General features: G+C 42.7%; 2 protein-coding genes and 1 long non-coding RNA gene across 14 annotated transcripts in view, besides 3 other annotated features; 1 reads left to right on the top strand and 2 right to left on the bottom strand.

The window, feature by feature from the left end:
• Positions 743-1567: an enhancer, noted in NCBI's record as "NANOG-H3K27ac-H3K4me1 hESC enhancer chr1:234508390-234509214 (GRCh37/hg19 assembly coordinates)". NCBI's record gives its function as "activates a minimal SCP1, AML or CMV promoter by ChIP-STARR-seq in naive H9 embryonic stem cells {active_cell/tissue: H9 hESC(naive)}" and the evidence as "EXISTENCE:reporter gene assay evidence [ECO:0000049][PMID:30033119]".
• Positions 743-1938: a biological region, named in NCBI's record as "NANOG-H3K27ac-H3K4me1 hESC enhancer GRCh37_chr1:234508390-234509214".
• COA6-AS1 (COA6 antisense RNA 1) lies at positions 906-1692 on the bottom strand. 2 transcript variants are annotated; one of them, NR_125961.1, is made up of 2 exons: positions 1522-1692; positions 906-1309 (listed from the first exon to the last, which is right to left on the bottom strand). It is a non-coding gene; the product is annotated as a COA6 antisense RNA 1 (long non-coding RNA). The 2 variants fall into 2 exon arrangements; NR_125962.1 differs by lacking the exon at positions 1522-1692 and having other exon boundaries at positions 906-1502.
• Positions 1389-1938: an enhancer, noted in NCBI's record as "active region_2751". NCBI's record gives its function as "activates an Ori minimal core promoter by ATAC-STARR-seq in GM12878 lymphoblastoid cells {active_cell/tissue: GM12878}" and the evidence as "EXISTENCE:reporter gene assay evidence [ECO:0000049][PMID:35858748]".
• On the top strand, positions 1555-13179 carry COA6 (cytochrome c oxidase assembly factor 6). 3 transcript variants are annotated; one of them, NM_001206641.3, is made up of 3 exons: positions 1555-1777; positions 2329-2488; positions 11822-13179. In NM_001206641.3, exons 1-3 carry the CDS (start codon positions 1566-1568, stop codon positions 11915-11917), a joined length of 468 nt encoding a protein of 155 aa, NP_001193570.2. In that variant the 5' UTR covers positions 1555-1565; the 3' UTR covers positions 11918-13179. The 3 variants fall into 3 exon arrangements, with proteins under 3 accessions (NP_001193570.2, NP_001013003.1, NP_001288662.1); NM_001012985.2 differs by lacking the exon at positions 1555-1777 and adding an exon at positions 1782-1939 and having other exon boundaries at positions 11822-12148; NM_001301733.1 differs by lacking the exon at positions 1555-1777 and having other exon boundaries at positions 1800-2488; positions 11822-12148.
• Positions 19412-27165, bottom strand: part of TARBP1 (tRNA guanosine 2 -O-methyltransferase TARBP1) — an 87867-nt gene continuing 80113 nt past the window's right edge. For 7 of the 9 annotated variants that reach the window (XM_047429060.1, XM_005273234.4, XM_011544263.3 and 4 more), the window contains 5 exons: positions 26481-26652; positions 21745-21936; positions 21461-21585; positions 20515-20651; positions 19412-19844 (listed from right to left, as the gene is read on the bottom strand). In XM_047429060.1, coding sequence (XP_047285016.1) covers positions 19676-19844; positions 20515-20651; positions 21461-21585; positions 21745-21936; positions 26481-26652 — 795 coding nt within the window. In that variant the 3' untranslated portion in view covers positions 19412-19675. Of the gene's footprint in view, positions 19845-20514; positions 20652-21460; positions 21586-21744; positions 21937-26480; positions 26653-27165 lie in introns of those variants that run through there. The other 2 variants (XM_047429061.1, XR_007063103.1) reach the window with 2 other exon arrangements.

Below are 27165 nucleotides of genomic sequence, written 5' to 3' on the forward strand. Positions count from 1 at the left end.
CTGCTTCAGTTTCATCCCACAGGTGTTGCTATTGTTATTTTATGGTTCAGTTCAAAATATTTTCTCAATACCATTGACTCTGTCTCTGTGTTATTCAGGCTTGTTTTTACAGTTCTTTATTGATTTCTATCTTAAATGCACTGTAGTAAAAAATGACAATTATTTCAATTTTCAAAATTTCTTGAGTTGCTTTATAACTAAGTATGTGGTTGACTGTGGTGATGTGTCTGCTTTCAAAAAACTGTACATTCTGATTTTGGTCGTGTTGTTCTGTACATATTAATTGCGTCATTTTTACATCATGTTATTCACGTTTCCTATATCCTTAACTTTTCTCTTGCTAGTCTTAACGATTAGTGAGAAAGTCCTGTTAAAATTACCCAATATGACCAGGCATTTTTTTTCTTTGTAATTCTGTCACTTCACTTTGTTTCATATGTATTTTTCATTAGGTACTTATAAATTTTAAATTTAAAACACATTTCCTTTTTAGACTCAGAAGTCATCTAAGACTCTTTCCTTTCATTCCTTTTATATCCCATCAGTCATATTTAAAAGATATCTATATGTAAACTGACGTCAATAGACATGATGTAAAAGAAGGGGGTGGCTCTGGTAAAGCTAAAGTAACTCCACTATGAGAGTGCATTAACTATGGGGGAAATACTTTCTATATTGCAGAACACATATTTGGTGGTACGTAGCCTCACATCGCCACCCGGAAAAGTCTGCATATATTGAATTTGGAATGGATCAAACTGCACTGAGTGCAAAATTGTAAATTGCATCTTATATAAATGTTTTAGAACTAGATGATGGAGCAGATGGGATCTATTAAGAGAACGGGGTGCCAGATGACTGACCATAAACATGCTTTTTAATAAAGACTCTGCTGAGAGATTAACTCATATATTTTCTAAAATTTTTATTTCTTGTTCATTTTGTTTCTAAGATATTCACTCACATATTAAAAATAACAACGTCTCAAAACATTTGAAGCAACTCTCTTCATCCCTTTTAAAAATACCTTGCTGTTTCGGGGGTTAAAAAAAGCCACAAGGGAGATTAAAACAATACAAATATTTATTTTCCCAACTCCCCTGCCATGGGTTCTGGGACGTCACCGCCTCTTTCTGGGGCCCGTTTCATCCTTTTCTTTTAATCCAAGAAGCGATGGTGTTGTGCGCCTGTAGTCCCAGCTACCTGGGAGGCAGGCTGAGGTGGGAGGATCTTTTGGGTCCAGGATTTTGAGGCTGCAGTAAGCCGTGTTCTCACCACTGCACTCGAGACTGGGCGGAAGAGCGAGACACTGTATCAAAAACAAAACAAAACAAAACGAGAAGGCATCGCGGCTCTGTAACACTCCGTCCAGCTCTCGCACTCTCAGATGCAAACTTCCACACAAACTCCTCGGCTCGCCTTGTCCCGCGGGACTAGCATATCAAGCCTTCCGGGACACACCGTGCGATGATATATACGTATATACCCCTCTTGCCCTTGAAGGCCGGAAGTCGGTCTTACAGATAAAAGCGAAACAGGAAGTCCCGCCCCTCTATGGAAAGTAAATGGTAGCTCGGAAGGGTCAAAAGAGTCCGCGGTTTCGCCGCGTGAGTTGCTTTTTGCGGCTGGGGAGGTCTACGCTTCTAGAGCTTGAGCCAGCGGGGCGACCCTGCAGTGGCAGGACTCGGCACCGCGCCCTCCACCGCCGGTTGGTGGCCTGCGTGACAGTTTCCTCCCGTCGACATCGAAAGGAAGCCGGACGTGGGCGGGCAGAGAGGTCGGCTTGCTGATGGGTCCGGGTGGGGCGCGCGTGGACTATGGGCCCGGGAGGTCCCTTACTGTCCCCGAGCCGCGGGTTCCTCTTGTGCAAAACGGGGTGGCACTCCAATCGCCTGCTTGGTGATTGTGGCCCCCACACACCTGTTTCTACAGCGCTTAGGTTCGAACAGTAACCCTGTAAACTAGGCACTGCTGTCCCCGCTTTACTGGTGGGAAACGGGCTCGGAGAGAATAAATGAGCTGCCCTAAGCGACTGGGACAGAACCACAGTTCTCAGCCGGGCTTTCTGAGCCCACGCTGCCGCCCCAGCAGGGATCAAATCACACAGTGTGAGATAAGCCTCAAGAGCGGGTGGCCTTATGCTGCCACTGAGAACTGATTGGGTTCAGTTGCCTCATCAAAATCCCTAAGCATGGTTTTGTTTTGTTTTTGTTTTTTTTTTTTTTTTTAGTTTTAAAGGAAGAGGAGATTGACGGTTTTCCTCTTTCCTTATCTTCTCTTCAGATTACAAAGTTCATTGTTAATCTCAAATATTATTTTGGCCAACAGCTTCATCGCAGTAGGAATGGCAGCCCCATCTATGAAGGAAAGACAGGTCTGCTGGGGGGCCCGGGATGAGTACTGGAAGTGTTTAGATGAGAACTTAGAGGATGCTTCTCAATGCAAGAAGTTAAGAAGCTCTTTCGAATCAAGTTGTCCCCAACAGTGGGTAAGTCACACTTTGATGTGTTTCTCTTCCCTGTTAAGATACATCGAGCTTATACTGTGAGTGGTAGGCTGACATGAAGCGCTCTCTGAGGCATGTCAATTAACAGTTTCTTTGAGGCGCAGAGAAAACCTTGCCTGGTAATTCAGCCTTATTTGACGCACTTACATCAGCTAGATCTTTGGAGAATGTCAACTGACACATTAAAGAGCATCGAAAAACACAACAAACATATGAACAGTAACCAAAAAATTCCAGTTCATTTCACTGGTAGACTTTTCCAGGATCTTCTGAAGGGGTAGTATTTAATCTTGGGCAGGAGTTGGCAAAATTATTGACCTAGAGCTACTATCAGAAATAAAGCATTCCCAGTTGCTCACCCAAAAATCCTGTAAGTCATCATATACCCAAAATATAAAGAAAGGAGTTTGGTAAGCAGAAGAAAGAAAAGGTTCATATGGTGGATTCTGTCTCCCTGACAGGCATTCAAGCGCTGTATCCCCTGTCCTTAGTATAAGGGGGGATTGGAAAGAGGACTATTACTGAGGTTAGTAAGTGGCCATGTGTGCTAAGTGCTTGACATTTTCATCTTCACCAGTACCTGTTAAGATAGGTGTTGTTGGCTGGGTGCGGTGGCTCACGCCTGTAATCCCAGCACTTTGGGAGGCTGAGGCGGGCAGATCACGAGGTCAGGAGTTCAAGACCAGCCTGGCCAACATAGTGAAACCCCATCTCTACTAAAAATACAAAAAAAAAAAAAAAAAAATAGCTGGGCATGGTGGCACATGCCTCTAATCCCAGCTACTCAGGAGGCTGAGGCAGGAGAATTGCTTGAACCAGGACCTGGGAGGTGGAGGTTGTAGTGAGCCAAGATCACGCCACTGCATTCCAGCCTGGGCCACAGAGCGAGACGTTGTTATTCTCTATCTCCAGAGGAGGCAGCTGAAGCTCAGAGCATTGAAGTAACTCGCTTGTTATTACTCAGCAAGTGGCAAAACTGTAATTTTAAGGCAGGCCTAACTGGCTGGTGTGGGATTTGAACTTGGATTTGCCTGTGCTTTTTCACTGTCTTATGCTGCTGCAAAATATACCATGTAGTTGGAAAACAGATACTTTTAGAGTTGAAGTGGTTTTAGGGGTTTTGCCCTCTCATACCTCAAACCTTTAAAAGGCTCTGAAGGAGGCTACAAGAAGGCTGTGATGCAGGGAGGGGTCGTATTGGTGGCTGAGCTGGGGATGAACACAGTGAACAGAAATTACTTTATTTTTCTTTCTTTAATTTTTAGAGACAGGTTCTCAATCTGTCACCCTGGCTTGAGTGTAGTGGCGTGATCATAGCTCACTGCAGCCTTGACCTCCTGGCCTCAAGCAATCTTCCCGCCTAAACCTCCTGAGAAGCTGGCACTATGGGCATTTGCCACCATGCCTGGCTAATTTTTAAAATTATTTTGTAAAGACAGGATCTCACTATGTTGCCCAGGCTGGGCTCGAACTCCTGGGCTCAAGTGATCTTCCCACCTCGACCTCCCAAAGCACTGGGATTAACAGGCGTGAGTCACCACGTCTGGCCAGGCATTGCTTTAGATGAACTCTTCATCTGTAAAACCAGCCTGTTACAACCTATCTCGTGGGATTGTTATGACAACAAAATGCATAACTTGACATGTAAACTGAAAACTGATCAATGTGGGACTCTATGATTGAATTAGATAATGACTCCAGAAGAAAATATTATACATCTGTAGTTTTCCCATTAGACAGATGCATTGAGAGGAACTCCAGGTTTAAGGAGTTCCCCTTCGATCCCACTTTTATCCTCTCTCTCCTCCTGCAACCCACTGCTTTTTCTCCAGCCTGATGGCTCCCACTCCCACACTTCCGGGGCAGCTTCCAGTCTGTGTGCCAGAAAGGGTTTTTACAACCAGCCATTTGGTTCTTGATCGTATGTACATCTCTCTCACTCAAGCAGACTGGGTGCCATCCCCTGAGGCCCCAACCTCTCTCCAGGTCACTGCGTCCTAGTCACCGCTAACATGAATTGAGTACATCCTCTACACTCTACACTCTACACACTTGAAATGTGTCATCTATCTTATTTATCCCTCGTGGAACTCTCTTAGCGGTTTTATAGGTAAGGGCACATTGACATGAAGTCACCTGTAGTAACAGAGCCTGGATTTGAACTCAGTAGTCTGATTCCAGACCCCACATACTTCTTCCTATGCCTACCATGCAAGAAAAGGATCCATGAAAATAGCTTGCACAAGTCTCATGTAGTTCTAGAAACTGAGTTATCATTCAGGTCTACTTGAATACAAAAGCCCTGTCTCCTTGGGTCTCTTTACGGTTCTCTCACCCAGTTCCTTCATTCGCGTCTAGCAGCCGCTGCTCTTTGGAATGCCTTGCTGTGAGTCTTAAATGCCCGTGTTCATTAGAGCTCCCTTCTCTGCTACTCACTCGACCAAGGCAATCCTGTTTACAGCCATGGCTTGAAGTCCCAGCTTATGTGTTGATGCCTATCTTAGCCCAGGCTGTCATAACAAAATACCTTAGAGAAATTTATTTCTCATAGTGTTGGAGGCTGGAGGTCCGAGATCAGCATGCCAGCATGGTCAGTTTGTGATGAGGGCCCTCATCCTGGCTTGTAGACAGCTACCTTCTTGCTGTGTTGCCGAGAGAGAGAGAGAGAGAGAGAGAGAGAGAGAGAGAGAGAGATCCAGTCTCTGTCTCCTCTTTTTTTGTTTTTTTTGTTGTTGTTGAGACAGAGTCTCACTCTGTCACCCAGGCTGGAGTGCAGTGGTGTGATCTCAGCTCACTGCAACCTCTGCTGCCCAGGTTCAAGCAGTTCTCCTGCCTCAGCCTCCTGAGTAGCTGGGATTACAAGCGCCCGCCACCACACCCAGTTACTTTTTGTAGTTTTAGTAGAGATGGGGTTTCACCATCTTGGCCAGGCTGGTCTTGAACTCCTGACCTCTTGTTCCACCCGCCTCAGCCTCCCAAAGTGCTGGGATTACAGGCATGAGCCACTGCACCCGGCTCTTCCTCTTCTTATAAGGACATTAATCCCATCAGGTTAGCAGGGCCCACACTCATGACCTGCACCCAGTAGGCCTCTCCTCCCATGCTTCCAGCTTCAGTGAAAGACACCAGCATCAACTTAGGACCCGGGACCTGCGTGTCACCCTCGACTGAATTATTGGAGTGTTCTCAGGAGGGAGACTAGGTAAGTTAGGGCTGTGAGCTCAGCTGCTGTCCAGCTTCACTCTGATCCTTCTGGAAGCTCTGGAGTGTAAATTGCACCATATTTCATGGCTTTTGTGCCTGCCAGTCATTGGCATTGGCTGAGGGGCAGGTCTCTGGAGAAGGGGGCAGCCATCTGCTGTTAGCCACTGCCCAGCACAGCGGGGAGTGCGTGCATGGGTCTGCAGAGGGAATCTGGACAGAGGCCCAATAGTGGCCATTACCTCACCTGTCCAGATGCAGGCAGCATGAAGCTACCACAGCACCCCCACATGGGGTGTGTACCTATAAAACTCACCCGTAGAACCGCAGAGCTGAGTGCAAGCTCTCTGTAACCAGTCTTGCTGCCAGGGGGTGAAGGAGAGGAATGACCGTGTTCATCATCAGTTAAAGCACTTGTGTTGTCTGGGGAAGGAGTATGACAGTTAATGGATCTAGAGCGGAGACTCAGTGTTCCCCTTCTGACAAGAAAAGTACATTCACGTGTTTTGTAAAAAGCGTATTTATTAAAGTTCAAGAACACATAACCTGCCCATTTTAATGGAATGATAGAGAAAAAAAATCACCCAAATATAGATGATGGCCCTACTTCAGCTCCATGGTCATTTTTTTGGTGCATATCCTGTTCATTTAGTCATTCCACAAATATCTATTGAGCACCTCCTATGTGCCATAGGAAAATACAGCAAGGAAAAATAGACAAAGTGCTCAGCCCTCATGTAGCATACATTCTAGTATGGGGAGAGAGACAAGTAGTAGAATTAAAAGGATGTTATATGGTGATAAGTGATAGGATGAAAAATCAAACAAGGGTACAGGTTTAAGTAGGATGGTCAAGAAAGGTTTTATTTATACAGTAACTGTTTTCACAAAGTTATGAAAAAAGTTAGGGAACAGATAGGCAGATACCTGGTGAAGACGATTCCAGGCAGAGAGAATGAAACAGCCAGAAACCTGCACTGATGGGCCAGGCGCAGTTGCTCATGCCTGTAATCCCAGCACTTTGGGAGGCCGAGGTGGGCGGATCACCTGAGGTCAGGATTTGAGACCAGCCTGGCCAACATGGCAAAACCCAGTCTCTACTAAAAATACAAAAATTAGCTGGGTGTGATGGTGGGCACCTGTAATCCCAACTATTTGGGAGGCTGAGGCAGGAGAATTGCTTGAACCCGGGAGGTGGAGTTTCCAGTAAGCTGAGATTATGCCACTGCACTCCAGCCTGGGTGAGTACAAGACTCTGGTTTTTTTTTCTTTTTGAAAAAAACAAAACAAACAAAAAAAGCAACAAAAACCTGCACCGATGTGTTTAAGGGACAGTAAGAAGAAAATAGCATAAGTTAGAGCCAAGAGACGGGAGGCCAGGGAGGTACTTTTTTAATTTTTTTTTTTTTTTTTTTTTCCAGACAGTCTCACTCTGTTGCCCAGGCTGGAGTGCAGTGGTGTGATCTTTGCCATGTTGCCCAGGCTGGTCTTGAACTCCTGGACTCAAGCGATCTGCCCATCTCAGCCTCCCAAAGAGCTGGGATTATAGGTGTGAGCCACTGTGCCCGGCCATGGTTGGTGCTTTTACTCTTAGTAATACAGGAAGCTATTGGAGAGCTTTGGGTTTAGGAGTAAGGAGGGAAGTGAGGCCATGAGAGGGATGACAATCAGTAGAAAGGTGGTGGGACTGGTTGGCTGTTGGCATTAAGTCCAAGAGGGAATGTTCAGAGGTAGGGGTTGGAGAATGGGATTCTCACAATTGGAATTATGGAAGGGTTCTGTTTGTTATGAGGATAAGATATAAGCTTTGATCCTGGGAGTAAGGTAGGTTGGAGGATGAGATCATTGAAGAGGTCAAGGAACAGAGGCCATGGTATTGAAAAGATCAGTATGTGGACATTGAAATTACCCGCGAGTTTTGACCTGAGTACCCACGAGTTGTGACCTGATTATTGTTGGAAAAAATGATGGTGTATTAGTCCGTTTTCATACTGCTATAAAGAACTGCCTGAGACTGGTTAATTTACAAAGGAAAGAGGTTTAATTGACTCACAGTTCAGCATGGCTGGGGAGGCCTCAGGAAACTTACAATCATGGTGGAAGGCAAGGGGGAAGCAAGGCACCTTCTTCACAAGGCGGCAGGAAGGAGAAGTGCCAAACAAAGGGGGAAGAGCCCCTTATAAAACCATCTGATCTTATGAGAACTCACTTACTGTCACAAGAACAGCGTGGGAGAAACTACCCCGGTGATTCAGTTACCTTCACCTGGTCTCTCCCTTGACAAGTGGCGATTATGGGGATTACAATTCAAGATGAGATTTGGGTGGGGACACAAAGCCTAACCATATCAGATGGTGACCTGCAAAGTTGTAGATGACTGTAACAAAGAAGGGAAGCAGGTAGTATAGTAAATTATTCCCATTGACTTCTGCAGCATTTGACAGTGATAGCCCGTTTCCCATTTGCACCCATTTTCTTCTGCACCACTGTTCTTTCTTAGTTCATAACTGAGTTATTTCTCAGCCTGCCCTTCACTATCGGTTCTTTGCTCCCTGTTCACCTGTGCTCTCTTTTCAAGTATTACCTTGTCAAAGTCCTACTCAATTGCCACAGAATAAAAGCTGAAAAGTTTTTCCAGAGATATGTGTGCATAAGGGTGGGGAGGCACACGGGAGGGCAAGTAAATGGAAATCTCTTTTGAGTGCATTCTGAATGAGATGCTTTGTTTTTGTTGCCTTTAATTTTCATTCAGTCTTGTGAGGTACTTTGTATCTGCTTTATACAATAGGAACTAAGGTTCAGAAAGGTAAAATAATTTGTCTTAGACCAGCCAACCAGTAAAGTAGTAGAGAGAGGATTTGAATGTCTATGATTTCAAAATTTGGATCTTTTACTTAGCTGATGTGACAGCCACGAAATAAAGATAAAAAATAGCACCACCAAATTGGGATTTAGATTGAGTAATTCTATCCCAAAACACCAAAAATACATGCTTATTACAAAATAAATATGCCATACAACTAATATGGTAGCTGTTACCAAAACAAATTAGTTCTCTCTCGTACTCACATATCTGTTTTATAGCACTCATCAGTATGATGTGTATAATGGTCCTATTGAAAGTCTTCTGGGATTATAGGCGTGAGCCACCACTCCCAAGGCGGGTGGATCACCTGAGGTCAGGAGGTCGGGACCAGCCTGGCCAACATGGCGAAACCCCATCTCTACTAAAAATACGAAAATTAGCCAGGCGCGGTGGCACGCGCCTGTAGTCCCACCTACTCGGGAGGCTGAGTCAGGAGAATCACTGGAACCTGGTAAGCAGAGGTTGCAGTGAGCCAAGATCACGCCACTGCACTCCAGCTTGGGTGACAGAGTAAGACTGTCTCAAAAATAAAATAAAATAAAAGGCTCCTATTGTTCCTAACTTAGGAGCAGGGATCAGGCCTATCATTCTAGCATCATCTAACAAAGTTCCACAAACAGAGCAACCAGATATCCAAGATCTTTGATCTTAATATCAAATTCATATATTGTCTTTTTTCTATAAAACTTTGAAATGTCTCAGAAATCCCAGTATTTTGGCATTCACACTACTGTCCTGGGTCTTATTCAGTGGTTTAGAGACCACTCGCATATGTGTATACAGTATTTCTCAATGAATCCTTGTTGATTCATTAGCCTTTTAGAGAAAGGACCGTGTGTTGAGGGTTTAGGCTGTTGGTTGAAAGAGAAGGTGATGGCTAGGGAGGAGAGCTTTCCAGGCAGAATGTGGTAATATGCAAAGGCATGGAATCAAGACGCGCAGGAAATGAGCATGGGGTAGCTCTGTAGGACAAACAGTTCAGGGACTGCTGGTGAATTCAGAGAGGATGGACAGGGGCGCAGGGATGAAGCCATCAGTGGCCTCGTTTGTCTTAGAAACCTTAAAGGCAATATGGATACCTTGAAAGATCTTCAAACAAGCAAGTGACCTGATCAAATTTGGGTTTCAGAAAGATTATACTCTGGCAGCCTGGGACAGGTGAATTAAGGATGGTTGAGCCTAGAAATAGAGAAGCCAGTGAAAGAGCTGTTACAGCAACCCAAGTGAGAAATGATGAGGGTTTGTGCTGTGGCAGTGAAGAAGGGAAAAGAGATGTAAGTGTCTAGGTAGATGTGATGCGTTCATTGAAATAGGTATTAGAGGAGAAACATGTTTGGAGAGGAGCAAAGTTCTGGACAAGTTGGGACTGCAACATCAGTAGGACCTCTAAATGGAGTTGTCTTAGGCAGTTGGAGATGTGACAGGACATGCAAACATCTATTAATTTGTCACAAAAATGTTAAGGGCAATGTCCACTTCTTCCTTTGGTATCCTTATATAACATCCATCCTAGCCCAATCAGCCTGAGACCACCAGGGATGAATGTATAGTCTGATTTGTGAATGCTTATAACCAGGAAGACCACACACCAGAGAACTGTGGGCATCTTACCAACAAAGAAAAAGAGAGTTATTAGAAGTTTAGGGGAAGAATGGAGTTTAGGTAAAATTTAAATGAAATGGTGTTTTGACAACCTCAGTACAAAGCATAGGTGTCGTCGTCAGCTCTGGATCGAAAAGTGGACCAGGGTTTTCTTTCTTTGAAGTTAAAAGATTGAGTGTCATGTTCATGTTGAGAAATGTTATTTGACATCCTGGAGCTGGGTTGGAGATCAAGGCTGCTTCTGTGTCAGGGCGCCGTAGATCTTCTAGACAAAAGTGGGATGTTTCCTTCTTACAGATCAGACTTCAAACAGCAAATTTCTGGTAGTTAATGATTTTAGAGAACAAGATTTCCCAATGAATAAGAAAGCAGTAATCACTCAAATAACGGATCTATTAGCACACTCCGTGGCTGTCGTACACCCTCGGGAGACATGTTTCCTTTCAGCTGACTTTGTGTGTGTCTGTTATCCTAGCTTGATTGATACAGCACAGGGCAGATTTTTACATTTGCAGTCCAAGATAATTTTTACTTACGAGCACCACTGAAATATTTAAGAATTAAATCCAAAGAAAGGCTTTTAACAAAAGAACTAGTGTTTTCTGGTCTGACAATGAAGATGAATTTAGAGTTGATAAGAAAAATGGTCCAGGCTCAGTGTGGTGGCTCACGCCTGCCAGCGCTTTGGGAGGCCAAGGCAGGTGGATCACTTGAGGTCAGGAGTTCGAGACCAGCCTGGCCAAGATGGCAAAACCCCATCACTACTAAAAATACAAAAAAAGTAGCCGGGCATGGTAGCAGATGCCTGTAATTGCAGCTACTTGGGAGGCTGAGGCCAGAGAATAGCTTGAACCTGGGAGGCGGACGTTGCAGTGAGCCGAGATTGCTCCACTGCACTCCAGCCTGGGTGACAGAGCGAGACTCTCTGTCAAGAAAGAAAGAGAGAGAGAGAGAGAAGGAAGGGAGGGAGGGAGGGAGGGAGGGAGGGAGGGAAGGGAATGGAAGGAAGGGAAGGGAAGTAAGAAAAATGGTCCAATGTGTTCTCATTTGAAGCCTTCTGACCTACCTGAGAGCTCTGTGGACTCTGAACTCGCCAGCAAGCCTGACCTGTGTGCACATGGGTCCATTTCTTGAGAAGGTTCCTGAGTTATTCAAATTCTCAGTATGGTCTGTAATCCAAAAAGGATTAGGATTCACTGGTCTGTACTCTCCTCAGAGACTTTTTCATCAAATGCCTCAATTCAAAATGGTTCTAGACAATGAGAACACATCACAGGAAAGGGAACATCACACACTGGGGCCTGTTGTGGGGTGGGGGGAGGGGGGGACAGATAGCATTAGGAGGTATACCTAATGTTAAATGGCGAGTTACTGGGTGCAGCACACCAACATGGCACATGTATACATATGTAACTAACCTGCACGTTGTGCACGTGTACCCTAAAACTTAAAGTATAATAAAAAAAAAAAGAAAAACATCATTCATAGTTACAGCTGACACACACACACACACACACACACAAAATGGTTCTAGAATATAAATCACTTAAATTTATGTTGAATAATATGTTACATTTAAATCTGTGCTTTTGCTTATCTAAGCTGCATAACTTGCCCTTATTTCAAATCCTTTTTTTTTCCAACAGATAAAATATTTTGATAAAAGAAGAGACTACTTAAAATTCAAAGAAAAATTTGAAGCAGGACAATTTGAGCCTTCAGAAACAACTGCAAAATCCTAGGCTGTTCATAAAGATTGAAAGTATTCTTTCTGGACATTGAAAAAGCTCCACTGACTATGGAACAGTAATAGTTTGAATCATAGTGAACATCAATACTTGTTCCCTATATACGACACTTGATAATTAAGATGATCAAGAACCAGAAGATCTGTGAAGAAATGAAATAAAATGGTATTTAGTAAGAAATCTCTATTTTAAGAAAAAAAGTAAAACCTGTTATAAACACATGCACTTTTGTTTTGTTTTTGTTTTGTTTTTAATTAGAGGATGGGTAGTAGGCAGATGATAAAATTTATAATATACATAGAAGTGAAATAAATGGGAGTTAGCATTTTAATACAGGCAAGAGCTATTACAACAACCCAAGTGAGAAATGATGAGGGTTTGTGGAAGGTTTATAAGGAAGAAGGGTGAACTTAAAATATACAAGTAAAATAATAAAAGCCATCTATAAAAAAGCCCATAGCTAATATCAACACTTAATGTTGGGACAGGAACTGGATGTCTAGCTAGTCCAGTGAGACAAAAAAGAAAAAGCATACACACTGGGAAGGAAGAAAGAAAACTAGCTCTACTCACATATAATAAATACTATCTTATAGAATGTACCAATGGATGCACAAAAAGAGCTCCTAGAACTATAAGTCAATCATAGAAAGGTTGCAGGAAACAAGGTCAATATACACAAGGAAAATTATATTCCTATATATCAGCAATAAACAACTGGAATTTAAAACTTAAAAATACCATTTGTGAATAGCACCAAAAAAAATTAAAGGAATACTTAGGTATAAATCTAATATATGGAGGCCTCTATGCTGAGAACTAGAAAACACTTGGAAGCAGACTACATCAGATTAAATGGAGAGGTATACAGTTGGCCCTCTGTGGGTTCTGCATCCATGGATTCAACCCCGAAGAGAAAATTTTTGGGAAAAGGAAAAACGAGTAAAAATAATAAAAATTTAAAAATCCAGTATAACACCTATTTACATTGTATTAGGTATTGTAAGTCATTGAGATGATTTAAAGTATAGGCATACCTCAAAGATACTGCAGGTTTGGTTACAGACCACTGCATTAAAGTGAATATCACAATAGAGTGGGTTACACAAATGTTTTGGTTTTCCAGTACACATAGAAGTTATGTTTATACTGTTGTCTAGTAAGTGTGCAATAGCATTATGTCTGCTCAGTATATATGCCTTCATTTTAAAATACTTTTTATTACTAAAAAATGCTAAAGATTCTCTGAGTCTTCAGCGAGTTGTCATCCTTTTGCTGGTAGAGGGTCTTGCCTCGATGTTGATGGCTGCGGACTGATCAAGGTGGGGGGTGGTTGCTGAAGTTTGGGGTGGCTGTGGCAATTTCTTAAGACAATTAAGTTTGCTGTATTGATTGACTCTTCATTTCACAAAAGATTTCTCTGTAGTGTGCAATGCTGTTTGATAGTATTTTACCTATAGTAGAACTGCTTCCAAAATTGGAGTCAATCCTCTTAAACCCTGCTGCTGCTTTATCACCTGAGTTTATGTCATATTCTAAATGCTTTGTTATTCCAACAGTATTCACAGCATCTTCACCAGGAATAGGTTCCATCTCAAGAAATCATTTTCTTTGCTCATCCATAAAAAGCAACTTCTCATCCATTCAAGATCATGAGATTGCAGCAATTGTCACATCAGGCTTTTTTTTTTTTTTGAGACAGGGTCTCACTCTGTCACTCAGGCTGGAGTGCAATGGTGCGATCTTGGCTCACTGCAACCTCTGCTTCCCGGGTTCAAACGATTCTCCCACCACAGCCTCCCGAGTAGCTGGGACTATAGGGGCGTACCACACCTAGCTAATTTTTGTATTTTTTGGTAGAGATGGGGTTTCACCATGTTGGCCAGGCTGGTCTCAAACTCCTCACCTCAAGTGATCTTCCCACCTCGGCCTCCCAATGCTAGGATTACAGGCATGAGCCACCACGCCCGGCCAGGCTTCACTTCTAATTCTAGTTCTCTTGTTATTTCTACCACATCTGCAGTTCCTTCCTCCAACCTGAAGTCACCTGCTGCATTAATAGCCCCTAACAAGTTGCCTGTCCTTTAAAACTTTGAAGCCAGGCATTGACTTCTCTCTAGCTCTGAAAGTCCTAGATGGCATCCTCTGCCAAAAGAAGGCTGTTTCATCAACGTCGAAAATCTGTGTAGTGTGGCCACCTTCATCAGTGATCTTGGCTAGATCTGGATGATTTGCTGCAGCTTCTGCATGAGCACTTGCTTCTTCACCTTGCTCTTTTTTGGAGGTAGTTTCTTTCCTCACGCTTCATTAACCAATGTCTGCTAGCTTCACAGTTTTCTGCTGTAGCTTCCTCACCTCTCAGCCTTTATAAAATTGAAGACAACTAGGGCTTTGCTCTGGATAAGGCTTTGGTTTAAGGGAATATTGTGGCTGGTTTGATCGTCTATCCGGAAAACTCAAACTTTCTCCATATCAGCAATAAGACTTTCACTTTCTTATTGATGTGTTCACTGGAGTCGCACTTTTAATTTCAAGAACTTTTCCTTTGCATTCACAACTTGGCTAAGCATTTGGTGCAAGAGGCCTAGCTTTTGGCCTGTGTCAGCTTTTGACATTGGCTTCCTCACTAAGCTCTTTCATTTCTAGCTTTTGATTTAAAGCGAGAGACGTGCCACTTTTCCTTTCACTTGAACACTTTAGAGGCCATCAATAGTGTTATTAATTGGCCTAATTTCAATATTGTTGTCTCAGGGAATAGGGAGTCCTGAGGAGAAGAGAGAGATGGCAGCCAGTGAGAGGAGCAGTCAGAACACACAATTTTTTTTTTTTTTTTGAGATGAGTCTTGCTCTGTCACCAGGCTGCAGTGCAGTGGCATGATCTTGGCTCACTGCAACCTCTGCCTCCTGGATTCAAGCGATTCTCCTGCCTCAGCTTCCTGAGTAGCTGGGACTACGGTCGCGTGCCACCATGCCCAGTTAATTTTTGTATTTTTAGTAGAGACGGTGTTTCACCATGTTGGCCAGGCTGGTCTCAAACTCCTGACCTCAAGGAATCCGCCCGCCTCAGCCTCCCAAAGTGCTGGGATTACAGGAGTGAGCCACCACACCCAGCCAGAACACACACATTTATCAGTTAAGTTCACCATCTTACATGGGTACAGTTTGTGGCACCCCAAAGCAATTATAAAAGTAACATCAAAGATCACTGATCACAGATCACCATAATAGATGAAGCAATGAAAACATTTGAAATACTGTGAGAATTAGCAAAACTAACAGAGACACATGCTGTCGGGAAAATGGCACAGATAGATATGATTGACACAAGGTTGCCACAAACCTTCAATTTGTAAAAAATGCATTATCTGTGAAGCACAATAAATCAAGTGCAATAAAATGAGGTATGCCTGTATAAGGGAGGATATGTATAGATTATATGCAAATACTATACCATTTTATATAAGAAACTTGAGCATCTGCAGATTTTGGTATCTGCAGAGGGTCTTGGAGCCAATGCATCATGGATACTGAGGGACGACTATACTGTGTTCATGGATTAGAAGACTCGCTATTGTTAAGATATGGTTAAATTCTCTCCAATTTGATCTATAGGTTCAATACAACCCCAATCAAAATCTCAATAAGCTTTTTTGTAGATATTGACAAGCTGATTCTAAAATTTATATGGAAAAGTGAAGGAACTAAAATAGTCAATTCTAAAAGGAAGAACAAAGTTGGAGGATTCACATTACTTGATTTCAAGACATATTTGGAAGGTACAGTAATCAACACAGTATGGTATGGGCAAAACGAAAGATATAGTTTAATGGAACAATAGAGACCCATATAATAGTCAACTGTGTTTGGACAGAAGTACAAAGGCATTTCAACAGAGAAAGGATAATCTTTTCAACAAATAGTGCTAGAAAAATTGGATATCCAAACACACCAAAAAATAAACTTTAACATCCTTACGCTTGGTACAAAAATTAACTCAAAATGGATCATAGAGCTAAATGTAAAATGTAAAACTATAAAACTTGAAGAAAATATGAAGAAGTTCTGCATGATCTTGTGTCTGGAAATGAATTTTCAGATAAAGCATCAAAAGCACAATCCATACAAGTAAAAGCTAAATTGGACTTTATCAAAATTAAAAACTTTTGCTCTGCGAAAGATACTCTTAAAATAATGAAGGTAAATTACAGACTGAGAGACAATGTTTGCAAATCATATATTTTATGAGGAACTTGCATCCAGAATAAATCTTGTAATTCTCAAAATAAGAAAAACAATCCAGTTTAAAAAATAAGATTTTGTACATACTTCTTAGAAGGTATACTCTGAAAAATATATCAAAAGATGCTCCATGTTACGAAACATTAGAGTAATGCAAATTAATACCACAATGACATAATCACTACACACCTATTAGAGTGGCTTGAATTAAAAAGTTGACAACACCAAGTGCTGCCGACGATGCAGAGCAACAGTCATTCACTGCTGCTGGCTATGGAAAAAATAAAGCCCCGTTGGAAAACAGCTTTTTTACAGAGTTAAACATACACTTACCTTATGACCCGGTAATCACACTCCTAGGTATTTCACCGAATGAACTGAAAACAAAACCTGTATATGAATATTTACTCAAAGCAGCTTTATTCATAATCACCAAAACCTTGAAACAACCCAGATGCCTACAACAGAGGAATGGATAAACTGCGATACATCTATGAATGGGATACCACTCAGCACTAAGGAAAAATTAACTTCTGAGTCACACAACATAGATGAGCTTTAAATGCACTTTCCTATGTGAAGAAGCCAGATCCAAAAGGCTACATACTATATGCTGCCATTTATAAGATTCTGGAAAAGGTGAAACTGAAGAATAGAGAACAGATCAGTGGTTACCAATGGTTGGGATAAGGAGAGGGGTTGACTATGAAGGGGTCACCCAAGTAAACTTTGGGTGACAAAACTATGGCACTGTGGTGACAGATTCATGAGTTCACACTTGTCAAAATCCAGACTGTTCACTATAAAAAGTGACCTGAATGCACAAATAAAATCAACCAGGATATAGGGGGGATTACAAGATGGAATGCAGGTCGTGATGAGTCTAGTTGTATTATAAAATATATGACATAACCCTTTTCAAAGAGGTGGGTAAGAAAGGGACTGACCTAGGTAACTGGAAAATGGTGTTTTGACCAGATACTGTAAGGCTACGGACAAAAAGAACTGTACACAGTTGCTAAATTTGCAATTCTGAAACTACGTTTACATTAGGATTGAACAAATAAGTAAATATAGATAATGAGAACCAGGTCTAGGTCAGAAAAAGCAGTTAAAAGCAAGAGGTGAATGTTAGAATGAATCCTGTGGTGCTGGATTGTGTCAGAGATGTCAGTACGAAGTCACGTTTATGTTCACCTATCTAGACTGATAAAGGCAGAAACATCATAGATATGTACATACATGGGTTGGTAGACATACACAGATCCCCTAGTTCCATCCACTGACAGGGCTTGTAATTTGCATAGCATCCAAATACTCCCCCAAATATTAATTACTGTGGTAATTTTAACAGGTGCTCCTGAATTCTTTGATACTCCTCCCTCCCACAGAGTTTACACTCCCTACCCTTTAGTACAGACTGGGCTTAGTCATTCACTTTTTTTTTTTTTTTTTTTGAGACAGTCTCGCTCTGTCACCCAGGCTGGAGTGTGGTGGCACGATCTTGGCTCACTGCAAGCTCCGCCTCCCGGGTTCACACCATTCTCCTGCCTCAGCTTCCTGAGTAGCTGGGACTACAGGCAGCCACCACCATGCCCGGCTAATTTTTTGTATTTTTAGTAGAGACGGGGTTTCACCGTGTTAGCCAGGATGGTCTCGATCTCCTGACCTCGTGATCTGCCCGCCCCGGCCTCCCAAAGTGCTGGGATTACAGGCGTGAGCCACCGCGCCCACCCTAGTCACTCACTTTTAACAGACTAAGAGGACAGGTAGCAACTTCACAGAGAAGAATGTGGCAAGCGCAGCCTTCATCCATTGATGGGGGTAGTCCATCCTGCTGGTGCCATGAGCCGCCTAACACGATGTGATGGGAAGGCACCTGACCACTGGCATGTTCTTCCTTAAAACCCACAAACTCAGTCTAATGAGAAAACACCAGACAAGCCCAAATTATGGGACATTCACAGAATACTTGGCCAGTACTCTTCAAGTGTCCAGGTCATGGAAAGACAAGGAAAGACTGAAGATCTGTCAGAGATATGAGGAGACTAAGGGAACACACAATGTGGTATCCTGGGTTGGCTCCTGGGGCAGAAAACAGAGTGGAAAACAGAGTGGAAAATGGGAGATTTGAATAAAGCCTATAGTCTAGTGAAGAGAGCCATTATCAATGGTTACTTTCTCAGCTTTGATGAAGGTTACCATGGTTATTAAGATCACATTAGAGGCATGTGGGTGAAGGGTGTATGAAAACTTTGTGTACTCTCTTTGCAACCCTTCTACAAAACAGTCATTTCTAAAGAAAACTGCAGAAGAAAATATTTACAGGTAATGGGCTCAAATTTAAATATTATTTAAAAGGACCCAGATATAATTGAAATTCATTGCTGGGTAGTGATAAATAGTTACTCATAAATAATTAAGTAATAAATGCCAGAGGAAAAAAATTGAAAGAACAGAAACAATCAACACTTACAGGTTCCATTCTGTTGCGATAAAGATATACAGGAGTAATTCAACTCCTTTAGGTCCATGTTCATAGTTGTCAGAATATAGACTATTTCTAACCACTATTTGATCTCTGTGTGCAAAGGTGATATGAAAAACTTCATATAAACTTTTTTTTTTTTTTTTTTTTGAGATGGAGTCTCATTCTCTCATTCAGGCTGGAGTGCACTGGCGCAATCTCGGCTCACTGCAGCCTCTGCCTCCCAGGTTCAAGCAATTCTCCTGCCTCAGCCTCCCAGGTTCAAGCAATTCTCCTGCCTCAGCCTCCCAAGTAGCTGGGATTACAGGTGCATGTCACCACACCCAGCTAATTTTTGTATTTTTAGTAGAGACAGGGTTTCACCATGTTGGCCAGGCTGGTCTCAAATTCCTGAGCTCAGGTGATCCACCCGCCTTGGCCTCCCAAAGTGTGGGGGGCGTGAGCCATAGCACCTGGCCATAAACTTACTGTGAATGATTATGGCCTAGTTCATGGCTTTAAAAATAAATTAAAGCCTACTACCTGAGCATTCTGAGCCTCACAGGGATGCTGGCTCTGCATCCTGCCAAATGTGTTCCCGAGGGGAGTACAGAGACGGAAAGCGGCACAGAGGCTGATGACCCCTCTTCATTCGGAACCTTTGCCTCAACCTCCCTGGTCTCCATATGACTCAAGGGTATGAGTGTTCACAGATGATCGCTGCTTTAACTCTGCTTTATCATAGTCCACACTTCTGACAAAAGGCGTTTCTAGGAAATAAATTCTCTCTTAAAAAATCCATTGTTTTATTTCCACAATTGCTTAAAATATTTTATTAAAGGAAGAATACAATTTAACAAAAAGTGTTTATTAAAGGGGAAAATATATAGTAATATGTTTAAGGCACATGGCAAACTTTTGGCATTAAATTGCAAGAAAAAAGAAATACAAATTATCACAATAAATTTCAGAATCTGTTTCTTTAGTCCAAATAGTTTTTTTTAAAAAAGTCTGAACAGCAGCAGCAGTTCACTAAGGAAGGCACATCATGGCTTGGTATCTCCGTGCGAGAGCAGCTGCTGCCTGGTGTACTCCCAGATCAGCAGGGCTCCACTCACATGGACATTCAGGGAGCGGATAATGCCCTGTTGAGGAATTTCCACACAAACGTCCAACTGTTGGATCAGATTTGCTGGAATTCCCTCACGTTCATTTCTGAGGAAGAAAATGGAAGAAAGATTAGTTTTCCTGTAACAAACAATTTTTCTCTTTGATATTCTTTTTATTTTTTGTTTATTCACTTATTTTTCTCTTTGATATTCTGAATGTTACTAAAAGAAACATTAACAAATGAAGTTAAGTCTGTAGTACCGGGAAATAAATAAGAGTGTAAAAAAAAAGACTGATGGGTCAATTCCATGTTCAGCTGGCCATGCCAGAGAGATGAAATAAAAGGAAAGCCCAGGGAGCTTCTTATAAATGTTACAAATCAAAGAAAAGTGCAGGTATGAGCAGGAGTCAGGGTAAACTGTAAAACAGAAAAGTAACATCTTCTAGCCAGGCACGGTGGCTCACGCCTGTAATCCCACCATGGAGGCCAAGGCCAGAGGATCACTTGAGGTCAGGAGTTCGAGACCAGCCTAGCCAACATGGTGAAACCCTGGGTCTCGTGGAGCATGCCTGTAATCCCAGCTACTTGGGAAGCTGATGCCTGAAAATTGCTTGAGCCAATGAGGCAGAGGTTGTAGTGAGCCGAGATTGTGCCACTACACTCCAGCCTGGGCTACAGAGTGAGACTCCGTCTCAAAAACAAAAAAAAACAAGGTAACATCTTCCAGTAGTCTGGGGCTCAGAGAATATACTATGGACACAAGAAGCTTCTTACCCCAACAAGAGCAGAGATTTCTCAGGAAAGCAATATTGGGTTAGGTCTAAACTTTTGGCAGTTTGTTCCACTCCAATGATGGTATAACCTTCTGTTTTCTTCTGCTGCAGATAATCAATTAGCTGAGGTGGTTTTACCTGAATATTAGTTTAAAAAGAACAGAATATTCATTCAGTTATAGCCCTGCTTGGAGTAAATTAGAGTTAAAAAACGTATTAACCTAAACTTAACTCTTTAAAAGAAAAAGGAGAGAATTATACATTATAAAAAAGAACTCTCCCAACATGACATCAATTTCTTTTTTTTTTTTTTTGAGGTGGAGTCTTGCTGTGTCACCCAGGCTGGAGTGCAGTGGCGCGATCTTGGCTCACTGCAAGCTCCGCCTCCCGGGTTCACGCCATTCTCCTGCCTCAGCATCCCAAGTAGCTGGGACTACAGGCGCCCACCACCACGCCCGGCTAATTTTTTTTTATTTTTTATTTTTTAGTAGAGATGGGGTTTCACTGTGTTAGCCAGGATGGTCTCGATCTCCTGAGCTTGTGATCCGCCCGCCTCGGCCTCCCAAAGTGCTGGGATTACAGGCGTGAGCCACCGCGCCCAGCCACCATGATATAAATTTCTAAGAATTATTCCTACATCAAGAGTGGGCTGTAACAGGATATGTTTTACTGAACAGAATTCTACATTATTGATGATTTCTAAAACTGTGACCTATAAAAAAATAAGTAGAAAAACAGAAGTGAGCTGTATGTTATTTTTAAACACTGTTCTTAAATGATTAAAGACTGCACTATTATAAATTATGCAAAAGGACTAATACACAAAGATAGAGCACTATAAAATATTTTTACAAATACAAACTTTTTTTTAAACTTTTATTTTAGGTTCACGGGTACATGTGCGGGCTTGTTTTAAGAACTTTAATAATAAATTACTTTCCACCCACCTCCACTAGAGGAAGCCACTGTTCTGCAGAGACACTGAGGTGCTGAAACTGTTTGTCGCTGATACACTGAAGGCTGCCAACAACGAGCACTGAAGCCCCAAATACCTCACAGGTCCTGCACAGTCCTGCACAGAACACCTGGGATCATTAAGATTGTTCCCAGCACAATGCTAAGCTCATCATGTCGCATACATTCCTTTGAAGCTCCCGTGGCAGTGGATTAATTAAAAAATGTTGAAGACCAAAAGCTTTCAGGCAAAGCTCCCAGAAAACTCCAACTTTACCTCCTAAATTGGTCGGTTTGTCGATGAGCGAGGCCACAACGATGAGTCTACTAATTGACTTTCCAAGTCTGGCAGCACGATCCTGAAACAGGAGCTCCAGGTCTAAGTCGGAAACACGACTGTTCCACGGGATAATCTTCTTCTGAACGTCGGTCCACTCCGCTTGGTTATCTGCTTCGACCAAATTAGTACCTGGGAAGGAAAAAGAAAACAATCCCACATATAAATAAATCTGAATCTCTATATATTTATGTATACATGTATATGTATTTTTAAGAATGTGAAATAATTTAGAATGAGATAATTTAGAATGAGACTTAACAAAGCATTAAGTAAAAAACTTTAGTTGGATTCAGACACAATTCCCATTTGTAGTAGTAACTTTAAGTTTTCAAAATCAGCTTTATTAACCAACATATTATGATACTTCATGGAAACATGAGATACACGTTTTTTCACGTTTTAGCATATCTGAAATTGAGACACATCTTAGAATCCAGAGTATCATAGTTTGGTAACATTTTTTTCCTTGGAAGTACATAAAATAATGATGTATCTTACAAACAGCAGTATATTAGATTGGGATTTTCTATGGAAAGACTATTTCTGAAAACAATATAATAAAATATCTAAAATAATTTTAAAAGTGCTGGAGTAACTTTTCTAAAATGAAGGATGTTGTATAAAGCAGTTATCTCTTGACAAAAGTGATGAGGACACAGAACGTTACTAGCCTATCTGACTGCAGTGTTTTCATCTCTGTAGTACAGGACTGAGACTCTACCTCTCAGGCTCTTCCTCAACTCTGTCCTACTCCAAACTGCTTTCTGAGCAATCAAGTGGCACTTAGTTCACTTAGGATAGGACAGACATGCAAATAACTGTAACACAGTACAACAGTGAAGGTAATGCTTACACAGAAAGGGGTTACTAATGTCTAGGGGAGGGAGAAGCAAAGGGTAAGACCCCGGAAGGCTCGCGGGAAGGAAGGTAAAAGTTTGCAAAGCAGACAGTAGATACAGCATGTGCACATGCATGGGATGTAGAAGCAACATGGTTCAGACAGCAGCAAGTACCTTGGTTTAGTGCACAGCCTGCAATGGAGTGGAGGGAGATGGCTCAAACCAAAGGGCTTTGCATACAATGATAAAGAATTTATTCTGTTGGCCAGGCATGGTGGCTCATGCCTGTAATCCCAGAACTTTGGGAGGCTGAGGGAGGATCACCTGAGGTCAGGAGTTTGAGACCAGCCTGGCCAACATGGTGAAACCCCGACTCTACTAAAAATAACACATTAGCCAGGTGTGGTGGTGGACGCCTATAATCCCAGCACTTTAGGAGGCCAAGGCGGGAGGATCACCTGAGGTCAGGAGTTTGAGGCCGGCCTGGCCAACATAGCGAAACCCCATCTCTACTAAAAATACAAACATTAGCCAGGCATGGTGGTAGACGCCTATAATCCCAGCTACTAGGGAGGCTGAGGCACGAGAATCGCTTGAACCCGTGAGGCAGAGGTTGCAGTGAGCTGAGATCGTGCCACTTCACTCCAGCCTGCAGCCTGAGAGACAGAGCGAGACTCCGTCTCAAAGAAAAAAAAAAATTATTCCACAGTTAAAAACCATTAAAAAATTTTAAGAAGGAGAGTAACAGTACTGCTGTGTGTTTTAGAAAAATCTCTTTTAATAGCTATGTGGAGGCTAGAAAACCATTAAGGGGCTTTTGTAGTAGTCCAGGTAAAAACAATGCCAGTCTAAATGAAGACAAGGCAAGAGGGGCTAAAGAAGAGGAGGAGGAGGCAGCTTTGGGAAGTGAAATCGCCAAGACTGGGTAACGGATGTGGCAAGAGCAAAAACAGGACAAGAACGACTTCCACGATGATTGACCAATACCATTAATAGGGCATACAGAGCAGGCACTTTTGGGCAGAAAGGCAAACTGAATTTGGATATGGTGATATTTCAAGAGCTTAAGGAATATCCCGGTGCTAATGTCCAGTCTGTTCAGGACAGAGGCTGGGCAGCAGATAAGGATTTGAAAGTTATAGTTACACAGGCGGTGGTTTCAAGTTGGGGACATTAATAAATGTGTTCTGGGAGAGGATGAAGAGTGAGAAGAAGACTGGGCCCGTGAAAACCTTCAGTGGCAGGAGGAGAGGTTGGTCAGAAGGTACAAAGTTAGTCAGTCAGGAATAAGCTCTTGTGTTCTAGTACACAGTAAGATGACTATAGGTAACAATAATGTATGTATACTTCCAAATAGCTAGAAGAGAGGATTTTCCATGTTCTCATCACAAACGTGAGAGGTGACAGATATGCTAATTATCCTGATTTGACCATTACACAATGTATATATGCATGAAAACGCCACACTGTACCCCATAAATATGTACAATTATTATTTGTCAATTAAAAATGAAGTAAAACTTCTTTAAAAAAGAAAAAAAATTAGGGGGATACTAACATTTAAGCCTCAGCATGGAAAGTCTATTACAACATGCCCCTCTTTACCAAAAACAGGCAGAACAGACAGACCTCGTTAGCCATTCTGCCATTCCAGTAACACTGTATTTCCCTGCTCCGCTTTACGCAGAACTCGACAGCTGCCTACAATGCCATCTCTCTTCCCTCTCCTCCCAGGCTCTACCCAACCGCACTGGGAAGTGCCTCCTGTCACTGTCCTTTGCTCTAGAATCTTCACAGTTGCTCTTCCTTTTCCAGTAAAGCTCTCGCCGGGACAGACCTTGCCTTGCCTTGCCCATACTTCCTTGGGGTCTCTGCTCAATGTCAACTCCTTAGAAAGGTCTTTCTCACCCTCCGTCCCTCTCTTCACCCTGCTTTGTTTTTTCACGGTACTTCTACTACCAGACACTGTGTTAGGTACGTGCTCCCTGTTGTCTCCTCTGTAAGAATGTGGGCTCTATGAGGCAGGGACTCGGTCTCATGTCTAACACGCAGGAGACAATCAATCAATCTTTGTTGAATGAATAAATTTAGGATAGTATGTCTTAAAACACATTAGTGAACCATCCAGAGGCCTGACAAAAATTGCATTTTCCCAGAACTCTCCTCCAGAGATACTGAATTTAAACTAAGGGTGGTTCCAGACCCATAATTGGCCTTTAAAAAAAAAGAAAAAAAAAATCTAAGGGTGGGACATGGAATCTGAATTTTCAACAAGTCACATGTGAGTCCTGAAGACATGGAAAGTTTGGAGAAGCACCGATGTCAGGGGCATGTGGGGGACTCAGAATGAGAAGGGTCAGAGTAAGGAGGAAAGGCAGGATGGCCGGAGACTGGCAAACATGTGGCACAGAATGGGCAGGTGCAATCTGAGGGCAGCGTCCATTTTCCACTCGGACTGTGTAAAAGAAACCGAAAGAAAATTTCTAATTTCCTGAAAGAAGTTTCAAAGGTGGTAATCGGCTGGGGAGAGTCAGAATGAGGCTAAAATGTGAGTGACAGACTGATAGGAAGATAGCCTACAGTCATTAAGACGGTCATTTTTAAATTGAGTTAGGGAACCTGATTCTTGGGTTTTTAGGACAGCTTGACTGTGAAGGGGAAGAGGAGGAGGAGGGGGAGGAGGGGGGAAGGGGGAGGGGATGGGAAAGTGGAGAGGGAGGGAAGGGAGAAGGGAGTAGGGGAGGCAGAGGAGGGGGAAGGGGAGAAAGGGGAGTGGGAGGAGAGGGAGGAGGGGGAGGGGGAGGATGGGGAGGAGGGGTGAGGGGGAGGAGGCGGAGGGGGAGGACGGGGATGGGGAGGAGGGGGAAGAGGGGGGAGGAGGGGGAAGAGGGGGGAGGAGGGGGAAGATGGGGGAGGGGAAGGAGGGAGGATGGGGAAGAGGGGGAGGGGGGAAGGGGGAGGGGGAAGGGGGATGGGGAAGGATGGGGATGGGGAGGAGGGGAAAGAGGGAGGGGGGAAGGGGGATGGGGATGGGGAGGAGGAGGAAGAGGGGAGGAGGTGGGGGAAGAGGGGAGGAGGTGGGGGAAGAGGGGAGGGGGAGGGGGAAGAGGGGAGGAGGGGGGAAGAGGGGAGGAGGTGAGGGAAGAGGGGGAGGGGGAGAGGGGGAAGAGGGGGAAGAGAGGGAGGAGGGAGAAGAGGGGGGAGGGGGAAGAGGGGGAGGAGGGGGAGGAGGCGGGGGAGGAGGGGGAGGAGGCGGGGGAAGAGGGGGAGGGAGGGGGAGGGGAGGAGGGAGGGGAGGGGGAGGAGGGGGAGGAGAGGAATGTGGGTCCCAGAGGAAGCTGGTGGAAAGGAGTCATTGTACAGGGAAGGATGAGACAGAGGAGAAGGGATAACATGAAGCGGCGTCCAACCAACCAAGAGGGGACTAGAATCAAGAGCTCTGCTTTATTCCTATGAAGGACAAAAAAAGAGATTTCATCATTTGGTCCTTTTGGAAATGTTTATTTTTACAGAAATATATAGTAGAAAAGCAATGAGTGTTAACGAACAATACTACTTAAAAGGGAGGCCACTGGCCATCAGCTTTATATAAAGCAGATCAGGCTTCCTTTGGCTTTTTTTTTTTTTTTAAATAGCTTTAAAGCTAAGTTTCACTAAAAGTGTTAGTCAAAGTTATACCACACTTTTTCACTGTCTTTTCCCTAAGTGGAAAGGCAGAGGTCACCATGTCAATGAAAGTGATATTATTATTAACTACCTGTCCTTAGTAACTTAAATCAAAAAAATCTAACCAGATCAACAAGGGGAAAAAATAAAATGAAAATTATTTTTTACCTATGTCTTGCTGAGACCAGTCACCTGGTTTTAGTTTACTAAGTTGAGTTTGAGAAAGGTACCACTGAAATCCCGCAGCTAAAGGAACATCAGTGAATCTGGTAAATTTATCAATGGTGATCCATTCATCTTCAATAAGGCCTGAAAGGCGTGGAAGGATGTAAAATATGGTCTGAAAAGAGAATTATAAAATCTAAATTTCTTCCCTTAAGAATAACAAAGAAATATATAACATTTAAAATACAACTTAATTATTAATGATATATTCTCCAAACTATTACATCTGATCAAACTATATACTTTCATTTATATCTTATAGCAACTGTCTATATATATTTCTCATCTTCTCAGAAATTAGGGGATTAATTTAGGAAACCCCTGAGAGGAGGCAGAACTTGTACTCTGGTACTTCTAACTGTGTGTAATAAACCAGTATGTGCCTAATAAAAACAGTGTTTCAGAAGTAATCAGTTCTAATGATGGACAGTATTTGGATAAGTGCAATTTACTGACAACTAAATACCTCCAAAGGCAATCAAGTTCAAGCTCTTTTCATGACAAGTCTTTTACTCTCGTACCCATTAGATAAATTTAGAATCTGAATTCTGGTTTGACTAATATAATTAGTTATGTGACGTTAGGCAAGTGATTCAGCCTTTCTTGGCTTCAACTTCCTCATTTGTAA

This window comes from Homo sapiens, chromosome 1 (genome assembly GCF_000001405.40).
Source record: "Homo sapiens chromosome 1, GRCh38.p14 Primary Assembly".
Taxonomy (NCBI): domain Eukaryota; kingdom Metazoa; phylum Chordata; class Mammalia; order Primates; family Hominidae; genus Homo; species Homo sapiens.

Bases quoted from the DNA above. Each gene is read 5' to 3' on its own strand.
- COA6 (NM_001206641.3), top strand. From the start codon at position 1,566: ATGGTAGCTCGGAAGGGTCAAAAGAGTCCGCGGTTTCGCCGCGTGAGT. The intron at 1,778-2,328 runs GTCGGCTTGCTG...TTTGGCCAACAG, and splicing joins GGACGTGGGCGGGCAGAGAG to CTTCATCGCAGTAGGAATGG. The intron at 2,489-11,821 runs GTAAGTCACACT...TTTTTCCAACAG, and splicing joins CAAGTTGTCCCCAACAGTGG to ATAAAATATTTTGATAAAAG.